The following is a 15,134-nucleotide window of genomic DNA, read 5'->3' as shown; positions in this document are numbered from 1 at the left end:
TGGTGGCTCTCGCCTGTAGTCCCAGCTGCTGGGGAGGCTGAGGCAGGAGAATCACTTGAACCCGGGAGGCAGAGGTTGCAGTGAGCCGAGATCATGCCACAGCACTCCAGCATGGGCAACAGAGGGAGACTCCATCTCAAACAAAACAAAAATAAAAGGATACAAAAATTAGCCATGCTAATTGGTGGTGGTGCACACCTGTAATCCCAGCTACTCAGGAGGCTGAGGCAGGAGAATCGCTTGAACCTGGGAGGCGGAGGTTGCAGTGAACAGAAATCTCACCACTGTACTCCAGCCTGGGAGACAGGGTGAGACACTGCCTCCGAATAACATAAGTAGCCCCTGGTGTTACCTTAACCAACTCCTTATCTTCACCAGGCTGGATAGCTGTGGCCTCACAGCCAAGGCTTGTGAGAATCTTTACTTCACCCTGGGGATCAACCAGACCTTGACCGACCTTTACCTGACCAACAACGCCCTAGGGGACACAGGTGTCCGACTGCTTTGCAAGCGGCTGAGCCATCCTGGCTGCAAACTCCGAGTCCTCTGGTGAGGGATGATGACCAGTTCTTTCTGGAGGAGGCTGGACATTGGGCTGGGAGCATGAGGGTAGATAAGCTGGATGGACAAATACGTTATGCACTGGTGTATGCAATTAGGGGGCATACAGATGAGGCCACATATTAGCTATGTCATCTACTGGCTGTGTGACCTTGGATAATTTCCTTGTCTGAGGCCGGGCGCGGTGGCTCACACCTATAATCCCAGCACTTTGGGAGGCCGAGGCGGGTGGATCACGAGGTCAGGAGATCGAGACCATCCTGGCTAAAATGGCGAAACCCCGTCTCTAATAAAAACACAAAAAATTAGCCGGGCGTGGTGGCGGGCGCCTGTAGTCCCAGCTACTCAGGAGGCTGAGGCAGGAGAATGGCGTGAACCCGGGAGGTGGAGCTTGCAGTGACCCAAGATCACACCACTGCACTCCAGCCTGGGTGACAGAGTGAGACTCCATCTCAAAAAAAAAAAATTTCCTTGTCTGTTGAAGGGGACCATCGTGGCTCACCAATTGCATTGGAGGTCACTGTGATTCGAGTGAGAATCTAGAATTACTCTGCCTGGGTTCAAACTCCAATTGCTTTTTTTTTGGACAGGATCTTGCTGTGGCCCAGGCTGGAGTGCAGTGATGCAATCAAAGTTTAGGCTGGGTGCAGGGGATGGCGCCTGTAATCCCAGTACTTTGACAGGCTGAGTTAGGAAAATTGCTTTCTTTACACACACACACACACACACACACACACACGCACACACCAGGTATGGTGGCACACACCTCTAATCAAAGCTACTCAGGGGGCTGAGGTGGGAGGATCCTTTGAGCTCAGGAGTTCAAGGCTGCAGTGAACCATGATTACGCCACTGGGTGACCCAGCAGGAACTTGTCTCAAGAAAAAAAAGGCCAAGGCAGGCAAATCACTTGAGGCCAGGAGTTCAAGACCAGCCTGGCCAACATAGCAAAACCACATCTCTACTAAAAATACAAAAACTTACGGCTGGGAGCGGGTGGCTCTATGCAAAAATTAGCCAGGCATGGTGGCACGTGACTGTAATCCCAGCTACTTGGGAGGCTAAGGCAGGAGAATCGCTTGAAGCCAGGAGGCGGAGGTTGCAGTGAGCTGAGATCATGCCACTGCACTCTAGCCTGGGCAACAGAGCAAGACTCCATCTTGGGGAAAGAAAAAAAAAATGGAGAACATAGTTGCATCTTCATAAGGCTATGATAAATTATGAATTGGCCAGGTGTGGTGGCTCACACCTGTAATCCCAGCACTTTGGGAGGCCGAGGTGGGCGGATCACGAGGTTAGGAGACTAGGACCATCCTGGCTAACACGGGTGAAACCTTGTCTCTACTAAAAATACAAAAAATTAGCCGGGCGTGGTGGTGGGCGCCTGTAGTCCCAGCTACTGGGGAGGCTGAGGCAGGAGAATCGCTTGAACCTGGGAGGTGGAGGTTGCAGTGAGCTGAGATTGCACCACTGCACTCCAGCCTGGGTGACAGAATGAGACTGTGTCTCAAAAAAAAAAAAATTATGCAGTTAACACAGCTTGGGGACTTGCATGTAGCATGTAGTAAGCCTACTTTCCAGCAGCGTTGGGTGGAATTTCTGGAGGATCATGGAATTATCTTACCACGGTAGTGCACAATAGATACTTAAGGCTTATTAATTGAATGCCACAGTAGTACACTGGAATAATATCAACTCTTGTGTCCACAGGTTATTTGGGATGGACCTGAATAAAATGACCCACAGTAGGTTGGCAGCGCTTCGAGTAACAAAACCTTATTTGGACATTGGCTGCTGAATGGTCCTATCTGCTGGCTCTCCCCTGAGATCTGGACAGAGGAAGATGGGAGGGTGCTCATCACCCCCCCAGCATAATGATCAGCCTCCTTCCTAGAGACAGACTCATGCAGATTGAGATCAAAAGTCCCTCTGCTTGGGATCAAATTAATGTTTGACAGAGCTGGCCAGGCGTGGTGGCTCATGTATGTAATCCTAGCACTTCGAGAGGCCGAGGCAGGTGGATCACGAGGTCAGGAGTTTGAGATTAGCCTGGCCAAGATGGTGAAACCCTGTCTCTACTAAAAATAAAAAAAAATTAGCCAGGCATGGTGGCGGGCACCTGTAGTCCCAGCTACTCAGGAGGCTGAGGCAGGAGAATCGCTTGAACCCGGGAGGTGGAGGTTGCAGTGAGCCGAGATCGCGCCACTGCACTCCAGCCTGGGCGACAGAGTGGGACTCCATCTCAAAAAAAAAAAAAAAAAAAGTTTGACGGAGCTTTAAGGGATGACCAACTAAGAGAGGTTTGATGGCCCCTAACAGGAGGGGTAAATCCCAACAGGGGCCAGGTGCGGTGTCTCACGCCTGTAACCCCCGTACTTTCAAAGGTGGAGGCAAGATGGGTTGCTTAAGTCTAGGAGTTAGAGACCAGCCTAAGCAACATAGCAAGACTCCACTGTTACTAATTAGCCAACTACTATTAATTAGTACAATTAATTACCCAGGAGTAGCAGCACATGCCTGTAGTCCCAGCTACTCTGGGGACTGAGGTGGGAAGATCGCTTGAGCCCAGGAGGTCGAGGCTGCAGTGAGCTGTCATTGCATCACTGCGCCCCAGCCTGGGCAACAGAGGGAGACGGTGAAAAATGGCCAGTAGGGGCCCTCAGAGGCCACCCAGCCCTGCCAAGCCCTGGCTGCATCGGAACATAGTAATATTTGAGCTCTGGGGTGGGTGCCACTGCCATCTAGTGGACGACACTAGGAATGCATGCCAACATCCAGCAAGGAATGCACAGGACAAAGCACTTGGTCCAAAGGCAAATTGTGCCAAGTTGAGGAAAGCCTATTCTCAAATGTCACAGGATACATGGGGCAACTCAGCATTTGGGAAGAGACTGGTATGCAAGCTAACCCTCAGAATGCTTGTTATGCCAACAGCCCTGATCCTCCCTTGCTGGAGGGGATAATGTCTGAAATCTTAACGTGGCAGGCATGTCAGGATGGCCCCCTGCCTGGAATTCACTGGGCCCTGCCAAGAACTGACACCTACAAGGCCACGTGTAGGCTGGCCATAACCTATTATACACTGTGCTTTCAACAAAAATACCGCCAGATGCGGTGACTCATGCCTGTAATCCAAATACTTTCGGAGGCCAAGGCAGGCAGATCAGCTGAGGTTAGGAGTTCGAGACCAGCCTGGCCAACATGGTGAAACCTACTAAAAATACAAAAATTAGGCTGGGCACGGTGGCTCATGCCTGTAATCCCAGCACTTTGGAGGCCGAAGCGGGCGGATCACTAGGTCAAGAGATCAATACCATCCTGGCTAACACAGTGAAACCCCATCTCTACTAAAAATACAAAAAATTAGCTGGGTGTGGTGGCATGCACCTATAGTCCCAGCTGCTGGGGAGGCTGAGGCGGGAGAATCGCTTGCACCTGGGAGGCAGAGGTTGCAGTGAACCGAGATCGCACTACTGCACTCCAGCCTGGGCGACAGAGCGAGACTCCATCTTAAAAAAAAAAAAAAAAAAAGGGTGTGGTGGCTCACACCTGTAATCCCAGCACTTTGGGAGGCCAAGGAGGGCAGATCACCTGAGGTCGGGAGTTCAAGACCAGCCTGACCAACATGGAGAAACCCTGTCTCTAATAAAAATATAGAATTAACCAGGCGTGATAGCACATGCGGGTAATCCCAGCTACTCGGGAGGCTGAGGCAGGAGAATCACTTGAACCCGGGAGACAGAGGTTGCAGTGAGCAGAGATCACGCCATTGCACTCCAGCCTGGGTGATAGAGACGCCGTCTCAAAAAAAAAAAAAAAAAAAAAAAAAAGAGGAATCCATATTCCCTTGGCTGGGTGCAGAGGCTCACGCTTGTAATCCCAGCACTTTGGGAGGCCAAGGCGGGTGGATCACAAGGTGAGGAGATCAAGACCATCCTGGCCAACATGGTGAAACCCCGTCTCTACTAAAATACAAAAAATTAGCAGGGCGTGGTGGAGGGCGCCTGTAGTCCCAGCTACTCAGGAGGCTGAGGCAGGGGAACCACTTGAACCCAGGAGGCGGAGGTTGCAGTGAGCCGAGATTGTGCCACTGCACTCCAGCCTAGTGACAGAGCAAGACTCTAAAAAAAAAAAAAATGCATATTCCCATTTCAATACACAGAAACCTATATTCCCATTATTAGGAATTCGAACTAAGAATCTTTAAACTATGTCACTGCCCGGTGGGAAATCAGGTCCCCATGCTGTGCTCAGCCCACACACTGGAGATCTACAGACCAGAACCTGCAAGGAGACTGAGGCAGTTTCAGAAAAAGTGACCTTACAACTCCAGAGATCAGATACTGATTCAGTCCTGTAGACATAATTGTCCCATTGGCCAGGTGCAACAGCTCATGTCTAATTCCAGCTCTTTAGAAGGCCAAGAATTTTTACACCAACCTTAAGGTGCCGCCTGAACACAAAAAAATTATCTACTCTATGTACTACTATCTATCTACCCCAGAAGGGGTATTCATGCATAGACCCAGCTACTGAAGCTGAGGAAAAATGCTTGAGTCCAGGAAGTGGAGGCTACACCTAGCTCGACAGAACCGCTACATTCCAGCCTAGATGACATGATCGTCTACAAAAAAGAAACTAAAAATGGCCCACCATTACCACGTAAAACTGTGCCTTAAGCTTTCTGCAATCCCAGCACTTTGGGATAAGAGATTGTTTAGGTTTCAAGACCAGATTGGGCAACATAGTGGGATCCTATCTCTAAATTTTTTAAAAAGTTATTTACCCAATATTCTTTATATGTCTGCATTCAGTCCTGTTTCCACAGCTGCTTCTGAAGCAAACAGCCCTGCTTACAAACCACCCCCACCTACACCCTGCTGGCCATACAGGCTAAACCCTAAACAAGCTTAAGAAACTCAACTAAAGGCTGGGCGCAGTGGCTCAAACCTGTAATCTCAGAATTTTGGGAGGCCAAGGTGGGTGGATCACTTGAGGTCAGGAGTTTAGTGAGACCAGCCCGGCCAACATGGGGAAACGCCATCTGTACTAAAAATCCAAAAAAAATTAGCTGGGCATGGTGGTGGGTGCCTATAATACCAGCTACTCGGGAGGCTGAGGCAAAAGAATCGCTTGAACCTGGGAGGTGGAAGTTGCAGTGAGCCAAGATCATGCCATTGTACTCCAGTCTGGCGACAGAGCGAGACTCCATCTCTTTAAAAAAAAAAAAAAACAAAAAAAAAAACACAAAAACAAAAAACCCTCAACTAACAATCCCCAAGCTGCCCGTAGAAAAGATGACAGGAGGCCCAGGTAGGTCAAATATAAAGAGAAGTCTTACTGGTTACCGTGGCGGACTCCCCACCAGTGGTGGCGGTATTGGGACAGAGGCTACAACTGCTTTATGAATTGCGGGTACAAATAGCAAAACAAAACTCCCTTGAATTTGAGATCTTACTTCAGTTCAGATACTGTGGAGTGGGCAAAGCAGCCGCAAGGGTTTGGAACACCTACAGGGGATAGGAAAACTTACAGGGGATAGTGGCCAGCAGACCCGGAAACCAGTGATAGGGCAAACAGCAACTAAGAACCTACTGAAGGCCCCACGTGGTGGCTCACGCCTATAATCCCAGCACTTTGGGAGGCCGAGGTGGGTGGATCACCTGGGGTCAGGAGTTCCAGAGCAGCCTGGCCAACGTGGAGAAATCCCATCTCTAAAAAATGCAAAAAATTAGCCAGGCGTGGTGGCTTATGCCTGTAATCCCAGCTACTTGGGAGGCGGGGGCAGGAGAATCGCTTAAGCTGGCAGAGGTTGCAGTGAACCAAGATTGCGCCATTGCGCTCCAACCTGAGCGAGAGCACGAGACCATCTGAAGCAAAAAAACCTTCCAAATATGAACTTAGGCCTGGCACTGTGGCTCACACCCATCATCCCAGGGAGGCCACCCAGGGCAAGACAGTAAAGCCCCATCTCTACTAAAGGAGGGATGTTTGATTCCCCCTAAGTTTCAGACCAAGCTGGCCAATGTATGAGACCCCAATTTCTACTAAACATTAGTGGAGCATGGCGGGGACACTCCTGTGGTGCCAGCTACTAAGGGTGGGGTGAGGGGGGGCTTATATGGGAAGATCTTTTGATCTAGGGAGCTCAGGCCTGCAGGGAGCTGTGATGGTGCCACCACACTTCAGCCTGGGTGGTTTTTATTTTTTGAGACAGTTATCGCTGTCACCCAGGCTGGAGTGCAGTGGCACAACCTCGGCTGGCTGCAAGCTCCACCTCCCGGGTTCATGCCCTTTCTGCCTCAGCCTGTGACTACAGGCACCCACCGCCATGCCCGGCTAATGTTTTTGTATTTTTTAGTAGAGATGTGGTTTCACCGTGTGAGCCAGGATGGTCTTGATCTGACCTCATGATCAGCCTGCGTCGGCCTCGGCAGTGCTGCCACTGTGCCCGGCCTTACTTTTTAAACTTGTTTGAAGTTTAAAGAGCAGAACTCTCAAAGAGCATAACTCTAAGTTCTAGCAGGGGTAGAAGGGAAGCACAAAATACTGACAAGTATTTTTAGGCAATGTACTTGGGTCATAGAAGAAGGTTCAGTAACGCCAGACATGAGGCTCATGCCTGTAATCCCAGCACTTGTGGGTGGCAGAGGAACCCAATAGACCAGAAACACATGATGTTGTTCACATTTTATTAAAAAAAAAAGTTAGGAAAAGTGAGACTGTGGCATTGTCCGTGTAGCAGGGTGGAAGCACTCCAGCCCATGCTCTGGCCAAACCCACTTCAAGCCTTACATGCATGCTGCCTACCAAATTCAGGAACAGGACCCCAAATTCCCTTTAAGGCCAACCAGATTCCCCCGACACCCCATCAAGCTTTTCCTGCCCTGTTCATCTGCAGGTGAACCCCGTATCCTGCCCACCCCAGAATATGCCAATTTTTATTATCTAAAATGGAGCATACAGACTGGTGCCCCGCAGAGAAGCCCGGGAACTCCAGGTCATAGCTGAAGCTGCAGTCAGACCCGCAGGCTCCCTTGAAGCAGGATGGTTCGTGATGCCCTACTCAAACAGGGACACCCCAAAATCGAAGCACTTCCCAGTACAGACAAAAAGGAAAGCGCCCCCATTTTGAGTATCCCAGTATGAGCTCCTCGCGAGGATCTGCCATCACTGTGACTTTCTTGCCTACAAGAGGTTGGCCTCCAATCATCCAAGCACATGTTAAATGTCAGCAATAAACTTGCTTGCTATGGGGGAAGAGGAAAGTTACATATCAATTATAACACCAACAGCAAAAAGCATTCCTTTCTTTGTGCATACAGCCCCTTGGTCACAGCTGCTGTTTTTTTTTTTTTTTTTCTTTGAGAATGAGTCTTGCTCTGTCGCCCAGGCTGGAGTGCGGTGGCGCGATCTCGGCTCACTGCAAACTCCGCCTCCCGGGTTCACGCCATTCTCCTGCCTCAGCCTCCCAAGTAGCTGGGACTACAGGCGCCCGCCACCACGCCCGGCTCATTTTTTGTATTTTTAGTAGAGACGGGGTTTCACCGTGTTAGCCAGGATGGTCTCGATCTCCTGACCTCGTGATCCGCCTGCCTCGGCCTCCCAACGTGCTGGGATTACAGGTGTGAGCCGCCGCGCCCGGCGCAGGCGCACAGCCGCCCTCTGAACCTTCTCTTCCTTTCACCATCTAACCCAGATTCCCTTAGTTGTGTCAGGTGAGAGCCCAGGAGGCCCCCTTCCCTTCCCCAGGTTTTCCGGAGCCATTACAGCCAGACGCTGTAAGGGACCTGTACCCAAGACAGTTTCCGGCTGGGAATCGAAACCACAGGCTCTTTAGTTCCTGCAGAAGACCGAGCTCCACGGCATCCGTTGATATGGGCGTCACCGGTGACGCTCAAATGTCGCAGCACTTTCCACTTGGACATCAGAATAGTGCTCCACATTTGAGGCCCACAGGGTGAGCAGCTCCATCTGCAAGAGCCCCGGCCAAGAAATTTATATCACGAGGAAACGGCCATAGGCAGGGTCTAGGGCCATCCTGCTACCCGCCCCCTCACCCAATCAAAATGGTATCTTCTCCGCAGGTTGAGTCTTCTCAAGCGGTAACACTCAAAAGATGGCGGCACTTTCACCAGAGAGCAGAAAGTGCCCCCACAGTTTGAGTGCCACAGGCTGAGGGGATGCGGCAAGGCGGCGATCGCAAGTGGAAGCACTTACCCATCAGAAGAGGCTTTTAAGCAAGGAGGTGGAGAGTAGCCCTTGATGAGCTGTTGAAGGTCTACAAAGCACGAATTTAACGACCCTTTCTTAAAAAGTAAAAAACAAGGCTTTCCACGTATAGATATTCAAAGCACTCCCCCGCCCATAGCCTCCAGATGCAAGCCATGAGGACTGAGTACAATGCAAGTAGGAAGGAACACGTGTGAGGGACAGTGGGGCCTTCGTCCTTAAGACTGAAAAAAAATCACAGAAATAGAACAAAAGTACAGCCCGGCTGGGCGGAGTGGCTCAAGCCTGTAGTCCCAGCTACTCGGAAGGCTACGGTGGTAGGATTGCTCTTGAGCCCAGGAGTTCGAGACCAGCTTGGATAACATAGAAAACCCCATCTCTCCTAAAAAAAAAAAAAAAAAAGCAGAAAAACGCACATGGGAATGGTGGTGCGCGCCTGTGGTCCCAGCTACTGGAGGCTAAAAGGGTGAGTCCCAGGAGGTCGAGGCTGCAAGGCGCCATCATCCTACCTGTGCACTTCATCCTGGGCGACAGTGAGATCCTGACCCTAAAAAATAAAGTAAAATGAAAGAAAATAAAATAACATAGCAATACTCACAGAGGCCAATGATACGTCCACACCTCAGGTCTGCCAGAAAGAACAAGGTTCACTGCAGCTGCGTTCTTATATAGGGTGAGAGCCCACTCAACTTTGATAGGATTAAAGCCCACCCCTTCCCACCCTCTCATTCCCCCTGGTCTCCGCCCCAAGCCACCCTGCTCCCTTTGATCCTAGCTTGCCTTAGTCAGACACACCTTCATAAACTTTTTCAAACACTGATTCAAATAGAAATTAGGTGATCCCTATTACTAGTAACGCCAACATGTATTCGTTATAAATACATTGGAAAACACAGAGAAATAACCAGAAGAAAATCATTCCACCAGTCATCCACTCAACAAATATTTAAATATAGTATTTTGGCAGAGCGCAGTGGCTCACACCTGTAATCCCAGCACTTTGGGAGGCCGAGGCGGACGATCACTTGAGGCCGGGAGTTCGAGACTAGCCTGGGCAACATGGCGAAACCCCGTCTCTACCAAAAAAATACAAAAATTACCCACGCATGGTGGTGTGCACCTGTAATCTCAGCTGCTTGGGAGGCTGAGGCAAGAGAATTGCTTGAACCCGGGAGGCAGAGGTTGCAGTGAGCCAAGATTGTGCCACTGCATTCCAGCCTGGGGACAGAGTGAGACCGTGTCTCAAAAAATAAATAAATAGGCTGGGCACAGTGGCTCATGCCTATAATGCCAGAACTTCAGGAGGCCGAGGCAGGCAGATCACGAGGTCAAGCGATCGAGACCATCCTAGCCAACATGGTCTCTACTAAAAATACAAAAATTAGCTCGGCGTGGTGGTGGATACCTGTAGTCCCAGCTCCTCGGGAGGCTGAGGCAGGGGAATTGCTTGAACCCAGGAGGCAGAGGTTGCAGTGAGCCAAGATCGCCCCACTGCACTCCAGCCTGGGTGACAGAGTGAGACTCCATCTCAAAAATAATAATAATAAATTTTAAAAAAATAAAAAAGCTGGGTGCGGTGTGGCTCACACCTATAATCCCTGCTACTCAGGGGGCTGAGGTGGGAGAATCCTTTGAACCCTGGAGGTGGAGGTTGCGGTGAGCCGAGATCACACCACTGCACTCCATTCTGGGCGACAGAGTGAGACTTAGTCTCAAAAAAAAAAAGAGAGGGAGAAAAGAAAAAAACAGTGCGGCAGTGAACATTTTTGAGAGCAACTTTGATAAAAAAGCGGAAACATTTCTGATTTTATTTAATGAAACCACTAGAGTTCCTTTGACCTTGAGGCATAGAGAGGAACTCAAAAAGGTGGGTGTTGGAGAGGTGAGGAGGGGCTTGAAAATGGTAAGTGCTCAAAATAATGAATGACTCAAGGAAGGGGAAGACTTGGGGCCCCAGGAGGCCAGGGTTTCCTTCCCATTTGTAATCCTAGCCAGCTGCGGGAGTACGTGCTCAACCTTTCTGGTTAAACCTAGTTCCTTCATCAATGAAAATGTACAGCATTTGCTGCAAAGGATGGCGAGAGATAGAAATGAGACAGCAAATAGCATGTTTGGCGAGAATCGCTAGAACCCAGGAGGCAGAGGTTGCAGTGAGCTCACATCACGCCACTGCACTCCAGCCTGGGTGATAGAGCCAGACTCCATCTCAAAAAAAAAAAAATTCTTGCTTTGATCTTTGTCAAGGTTGCGGGAGGTCAGTGCTTATGTCCTTACAGCTCAGCCATCCAGATTCCTATCTAACCTACTCACTCCTCTCACACTGCACCTGGATTTTCTGCTATTTGTGAACCACCTGGATGATCTCTCGGGTATTTCCTAGAACTCGGCTTTTTCTCATCACCTCATTTTGTCTTTGCAAATTTCTCCTTTAAGGGCGGCTTTCTTCTCCTGCCCTTGGGCCAGCACAGCGAGTTCATTGCTGACTTTTTTTTTTTTTTTTTGAGACGGAGTCTCCCTCAGCCACCCGGGCTGGAGTGCAGTGGCTCGATCTCGGCTCACCACAACCTTCGCCTCCCAGGTTCAAGTGATTCTCCTGCCTCAGCCTCCCGAATAGCTGAAATTACAGGCATGTGCCACCACGCCGGCTAATTTTGTATTTTTAGTAGAGACGGGGTTTCTCCATGTTGGTCAGGCTGTTCTCAAACTCTCAAACTCAGGTGATCTGCCCGCCTCGGCCTCCCAAAGTGCTGGGAATACAGGCGTGAGCCACCGCACCCGGCCAACGTTTGTATTTTTGAATATAAAAAATGTTATTAGTGCAATTGAATTTAATCAACATTCAACAAAGAGTATAGTCAAAGACGATTTTTAAGTGCATTTGAAAGAGGACTGCAGGCAGTGGCTCAAGCCTGTAATCTCAGCAATTTGGAAAGCTGAGGTGGGAGGATCTCTTCAGCCCATGAGTTCAAGGCTGCAGTGAGGCCTGATCCTGCCACTGAACTCCAGCCCAGGTGACAGAGCAAGACCCCATCCCTGGAAAGAAAGAAAAAAGAAAAGAAAAAAGATCCGCTGGGCACGGTGGCTCACACCTGTAATCTCAGCACTTTGGGAGGCCGAGGTGGGCGGATCACCTGAGGTCGGGAGTTCAAGACCAGCCTGGCCAACATGGAGAAACTCCGTCTCTACTAAAAATACAAAATTAGCCGGGGTGGTGGTGCATGCTACTCAGGAGGTTGAGGCAGGAGAATCGCTTGAACCCGGGAGGCGGAGGTTGTGGTGAGCCGAGATCGCGCCATTGCACTCTAGCCTGGGCAACAAGAGCAAAACTCTGTCTCAAAAAAAAAAAAAAACAAAGAATAAAGAAAAAATATCCAATGTGATATTTTACTTTTTTGTTGTATAATTTGTTTAAAAATATAGAGATGGGCTGGGCATAGTGGCTCATTCCTGTAATCCCAGCACTTTGGGAGGCTGATGCAGGCGGATCAGTTGAGGTCAGGAGTTCAAGACCAGCCTGGTCAACATAAGAAAACCCCGTCTCTACTAAAAAATACAAAAATTAGCCCGGTGTGGTGGTGGGCGCCTGTAATCCCAGCTACTCGGGAGGCTGAGGCAGGGAGAAATGCTTGAACCTGGGAGGCAGAGGTTGCAGTGAGCCGAGATCACACCATTCACTTTAGCCTGTGTGACAGGGCAAGACTCCGTCTCAAAAAAAGAAAAAGAAAGAAAGAAAAAAAATACATATATATATATATATATATGAGAGAGAGAGAGAGAGAGAGAAGAGAGAGAGAGAGAGGGAGATGCTGGTCTTGCTTTGTTGCCTAGGCTGGTCTCAAACTCCTGGGCTCAAGCGAACCTCTCACCTTGGCCTCCCAAAGTGCTGGGATTACAGGCATAAGCCACCACGCCTGGCCCAATTTGACTTTTTTTTTGACAATTGATAACATTGGTGGTGAGACCAGTTTAAGACTTGACCTTCCCCCCCCACAACCAGGCTTGACAAGAAAAATCAAATTGAAAAAAATTTAAAATTCAAGATGCGCTTCTTAGATTTTCATTCTGACCTGACAAGTATAGTTGATCTGGTCTTGTATTATTGCGGTAATTCAACACACATATTTAACGTAAAGCCTCAAATTGTAATAATTGTATTAACTATTAGTGAACTTTAAGTGTCAATTTATCTTTACTCTTAAATGAGCTCTTTGAAAAAAAAAAAATGACAGCCAGGCGCGGTGGCTCGAGCCTGTAATCCCAGCACTTTGGGAGGCTGAGGTGGGTGGATCACCTGAGGTCAGGGATTCCAAACCATCCTGGCCAACATGGCGAAACCCCATCTCTACTAAAATACAAAATTAGCCAGGTGTGGTGGCGCATGCCTGTAATCCCAGCTACTTGGGAGGCTGAGGCAGGAGAATCGCTTGAACCGAGGAGACGGAGGTTGCAGTGAGCCCAGATGATGCCACTGCACTCCAGCCTGGCCAACAAGAGTGAGACTCCGTCTCAAAAAATAAATAAATACATAAAATAACAGAAGGAATCAGAAATCCCAAATATTTAGGACATGAGATTTCATAGCCCGTGCTTCTTGGGAGGAGCGGACAGATAGAGGAAATTTTGCCTAATCAGAAGTTCTTCCTGCTGAGCTGAAAGGTCATCGTTTGCAAACCAATAGACCTCCTTGTCATGATAATCACCCTGAATCCTCACCCTGAAACCCAGCCCTTTGCATAATCTGCCCCAGCTCCCCATAACAATGAGATTAGCATTTTTTTTTTTGTAAACAGCCTAACAGTTTGAGAAATCCTTTTATGTACAATATTCGTTCCTGTAATCCCATTTTTCTCTCAGTCACTGTTTATCTACAGACTTTGGGTGGGTGCATGATAAACCTCCTTATGACATTAAGGAGAATTTACCATTTTATCCATCTTTTCTGCAATGGGATGAGTTCAGGAAGGAAAGATTCTTGCCAGACTAGATTAAACCTTTCCCCGGTTAATGGCTGCTTATTTTGTTTGCCTGTGTTCTTAACACTCCAAGATTTAATACACATGGTTTAATATGTGGAACACCTAAAAGGTGCTGGCGTCCATCCTCGATTCGGGGGTGTGGGGGGGACATTGTATAAGAAAGATTAGACCAGGCGTGGTGGCCCAAGCCCATAATCCCAGCATTTTGGGAGGTGAAGGGTGGCAGATTGCCTGAGCTCAGGAGTTTGAGGCCAACCTGGGCAATATGCTGAAACCCTGTCTCTACAAAATAAATACTATATATACATACTAGCCAGGCGTGGTGGCATTTTTTTTTAAACTGGAGATAGGGTCTTGGCCATGTTGCCCAGGCTGTTCTCAAACTCCTGGTCTCAAGTATCCCTCCCATCTCAGCCTCCTGAGTATGTGGGATTAAAGGGAAGAGACTGAACTGAGAACGCGCCATTGCACTCCAGCCTGGGCAACAGGAGAGAAACTCCGTCTCAAAAAAAAAAAAAAAAGAAAGAAAGAAAGAAAAGAGCCTCTGGGCTCTGCTTATTTATTTATTCATTTTTAAATTATCTATTTATTTTTATTGTACTTTAAGTTCTGGGTTACATGTGCAGAACGTGCAGTTTTGTTACATAGGTATACATGTGCCCCGGTGGTTTGCTGCACCCATCAACCCGTCACCTACATTAGGCATTTCTCCTAATGTTTTCCCTCCCCTAGCCCCCCACCCTATTTATTCATTTTTATTTCATAAAGAGCCAGAGTTTTCCTCTGTAGCCCAGGCTGGAGTGCAGTGGCTGGATCATGGCTCACTGTAACCTTGAACTTCTGGGCTCAAGCAACCCCGTCTCAGCCTCCCTAGTAGCTGGGACTACAGGCTTGTGCCACCACACTTGGCTAATTTTTTGCAATTGTAGTAGATATGGGTTTTTGCCATGCTACCCAGGCTGGTCTCAAACTCCTGGGCTCAAGTGATCCTCATGCATGGGCCTCCCAAAGCGTGGGAATTGCAGGAGAGCCAGAGCCTGACCCTATGGCCACTTTCTTGCTATAGTAATTGCAGAGTTGAGAAATTGTGACAGAGACCACGTGACCCACAAAACCTAAACCATTTACTATCTAGCTCTTTAGAGAAAATGTTTGCTGACCTCAGTATCGAGGCAAGGAGTGGACAAAGGCTGCGGTGGCTCACGCCTGTAATCCCAGCACTTTAGGAGGCTGAGGTGGGCAGATCGCTTGAGGTCAGGAGTTCAAGACCAGCATGGCCAACATGGCGAAACCCCGTCTCTACCAAAAATACAAAATTTAGCCATGTGTGGTGGCGAGCACCTGTAATCCCAGCTATTCGAGAGG

At 48.9% G+C, this 15,134-nt stretch overlaps 1 protein-coding gene, 1 long non-coding RNA gene and 4 other non-coding genes across 19 annotated transcripts in view, besides 3 other annotated features; 3 read left to right on the top strand and 3 right to left on the bottom strand.

Moving 5' to 3' along the window:
• The window catches only part of NLRP12 (NLR family pyrin domain containing 12), a 30,820-nt gene extending 27,996 nt beyond the window's left edge, over nt 1–2,824 (top strand). For 12 of the 14 annotated variants that reach the window (XM_017027462.2, XM_047439676.1, XM_047439673.1 and 9 more), the window contains 2 exon segments: nt 379–549; nt 2,272–2,824. In XM_017027462.2, coding sequence (XP_016882951.1) covers nt 379–549; nt 2,272–2,359 — 259 coding nt within the window. In that variant the 3' untranslated portion in view covers nt 2,360–2,824. 14 annotated transcript variants of the gene reach the window in all.
• Nucleotides 3,261–3,761: an enhancer, noted in NCBI's record as "H3K27ac hESC enhancer chr19:54295901-54296401 (GRCh37/hg19 assembly coordinates)". NCBI's record gives its function as "activates a minimal SCP1, AML or CMV promoter by ChIP-STARR-seq in primed H9 embryonic stem cells {active_cell/tissue: H9 hESC(primed)}" and the evidence as "EXISTENCE:reporter gene assay evidence [ECO:0000049][PMID:30033119]".
• Nucleotides 3,762–4,262: an enhancer, noted in NCBI's record as "H3K27ac hESC enhancer chr19:54295400-54295900 (GRCh37/hg19 assembly coordinates)". NCBI's record gives its function as "activates a minimal SCP1, AML or CMV promoter by ChIP-STARR-seq in primed H9 embryonic stem cells {active_cell/tissue: H9 hESC(primed)}" and the evidence as "EXISTENCE:reporter gene assay evidence [ECO:0000049][PMID:30033119]".
• On the bottom strand, nt 7,635–7,703 carry MIR373 (microRNA 373). Its single transcript, NR_029866.1, has one exon. It is a non-coding gene; the product is annotated as a microRNA 373 (primary transcript).
• A 479-nt stretch (nt 7,704–8,182) lies between these two features.
• Nucleotides 8,183–9,386, top strand: LOC124904767 (uncharacterized). The gene is made up of 2 exons (XR_007067336.1): nt 8,183–8,521; nt 8,649–9,386. It is a non-coding gene; the product is annotated as an uncharacterized LOC124904767 (long non-coding RNA).
• On the bottom strand, nt 8,452–8,518 carry MIR372 (microRNA 372). The gene has a single exon (NR_029865.1). It is a non-coding gene; the product is annotated as a microRNA 372 (primary transcript).
• Nucleotides 8,666–8,731, top strand: MIR371B (microRNA 371b). The gene has a single exon (NR_039909.1). It is a non-coding gene; the product is annotated as a microRNA 371b (primary transcript).
• Nucleotides 8,667–8,733, bottom strand: MIR371A (microRNA 371a). The gene has a single exon (NR_029864.1). It is a non-coding gene; the product is annotated as a microRNA 371a (primary transcript).
• Nucleotides 13,248–13,973: an enhancer, noted in NCBI's record as "OCT4-NANOG-H3K27ac hESC enhancer chr19:54285689-54286414 (GRCh37/hg19 assembly coordinates)". NCBI's record gives its function as "activates a minimal SCP1, AML or CMV promoter by ChIP-STARR-seq in naive and primed H9 embryonic stem cells {active_cell/tissue: H9 hESC(naive and primed)}" and the evidence as "EXISTENCE:reporter gene assay evidence [ECO:0000049][PMID:30033119]".

The sequence above is a fragment of the Homo sapiens genome, chromosome 19 (genome assembly GCF_000001405.40).
Source record: "Homo sapiens chromosome 19, GRCh38.p14 Primary Assembly".
NCBI lineage: Eukaryota > Metazoa > Chordata > Mammalia > Primates > Hominidae > Homo > Homo sapiens.
The sequence above is the reverse complement of the archived record's forward strand: the minus strand, read 5'-3'. Positions and strand labels throughout refer to the sequence as shown.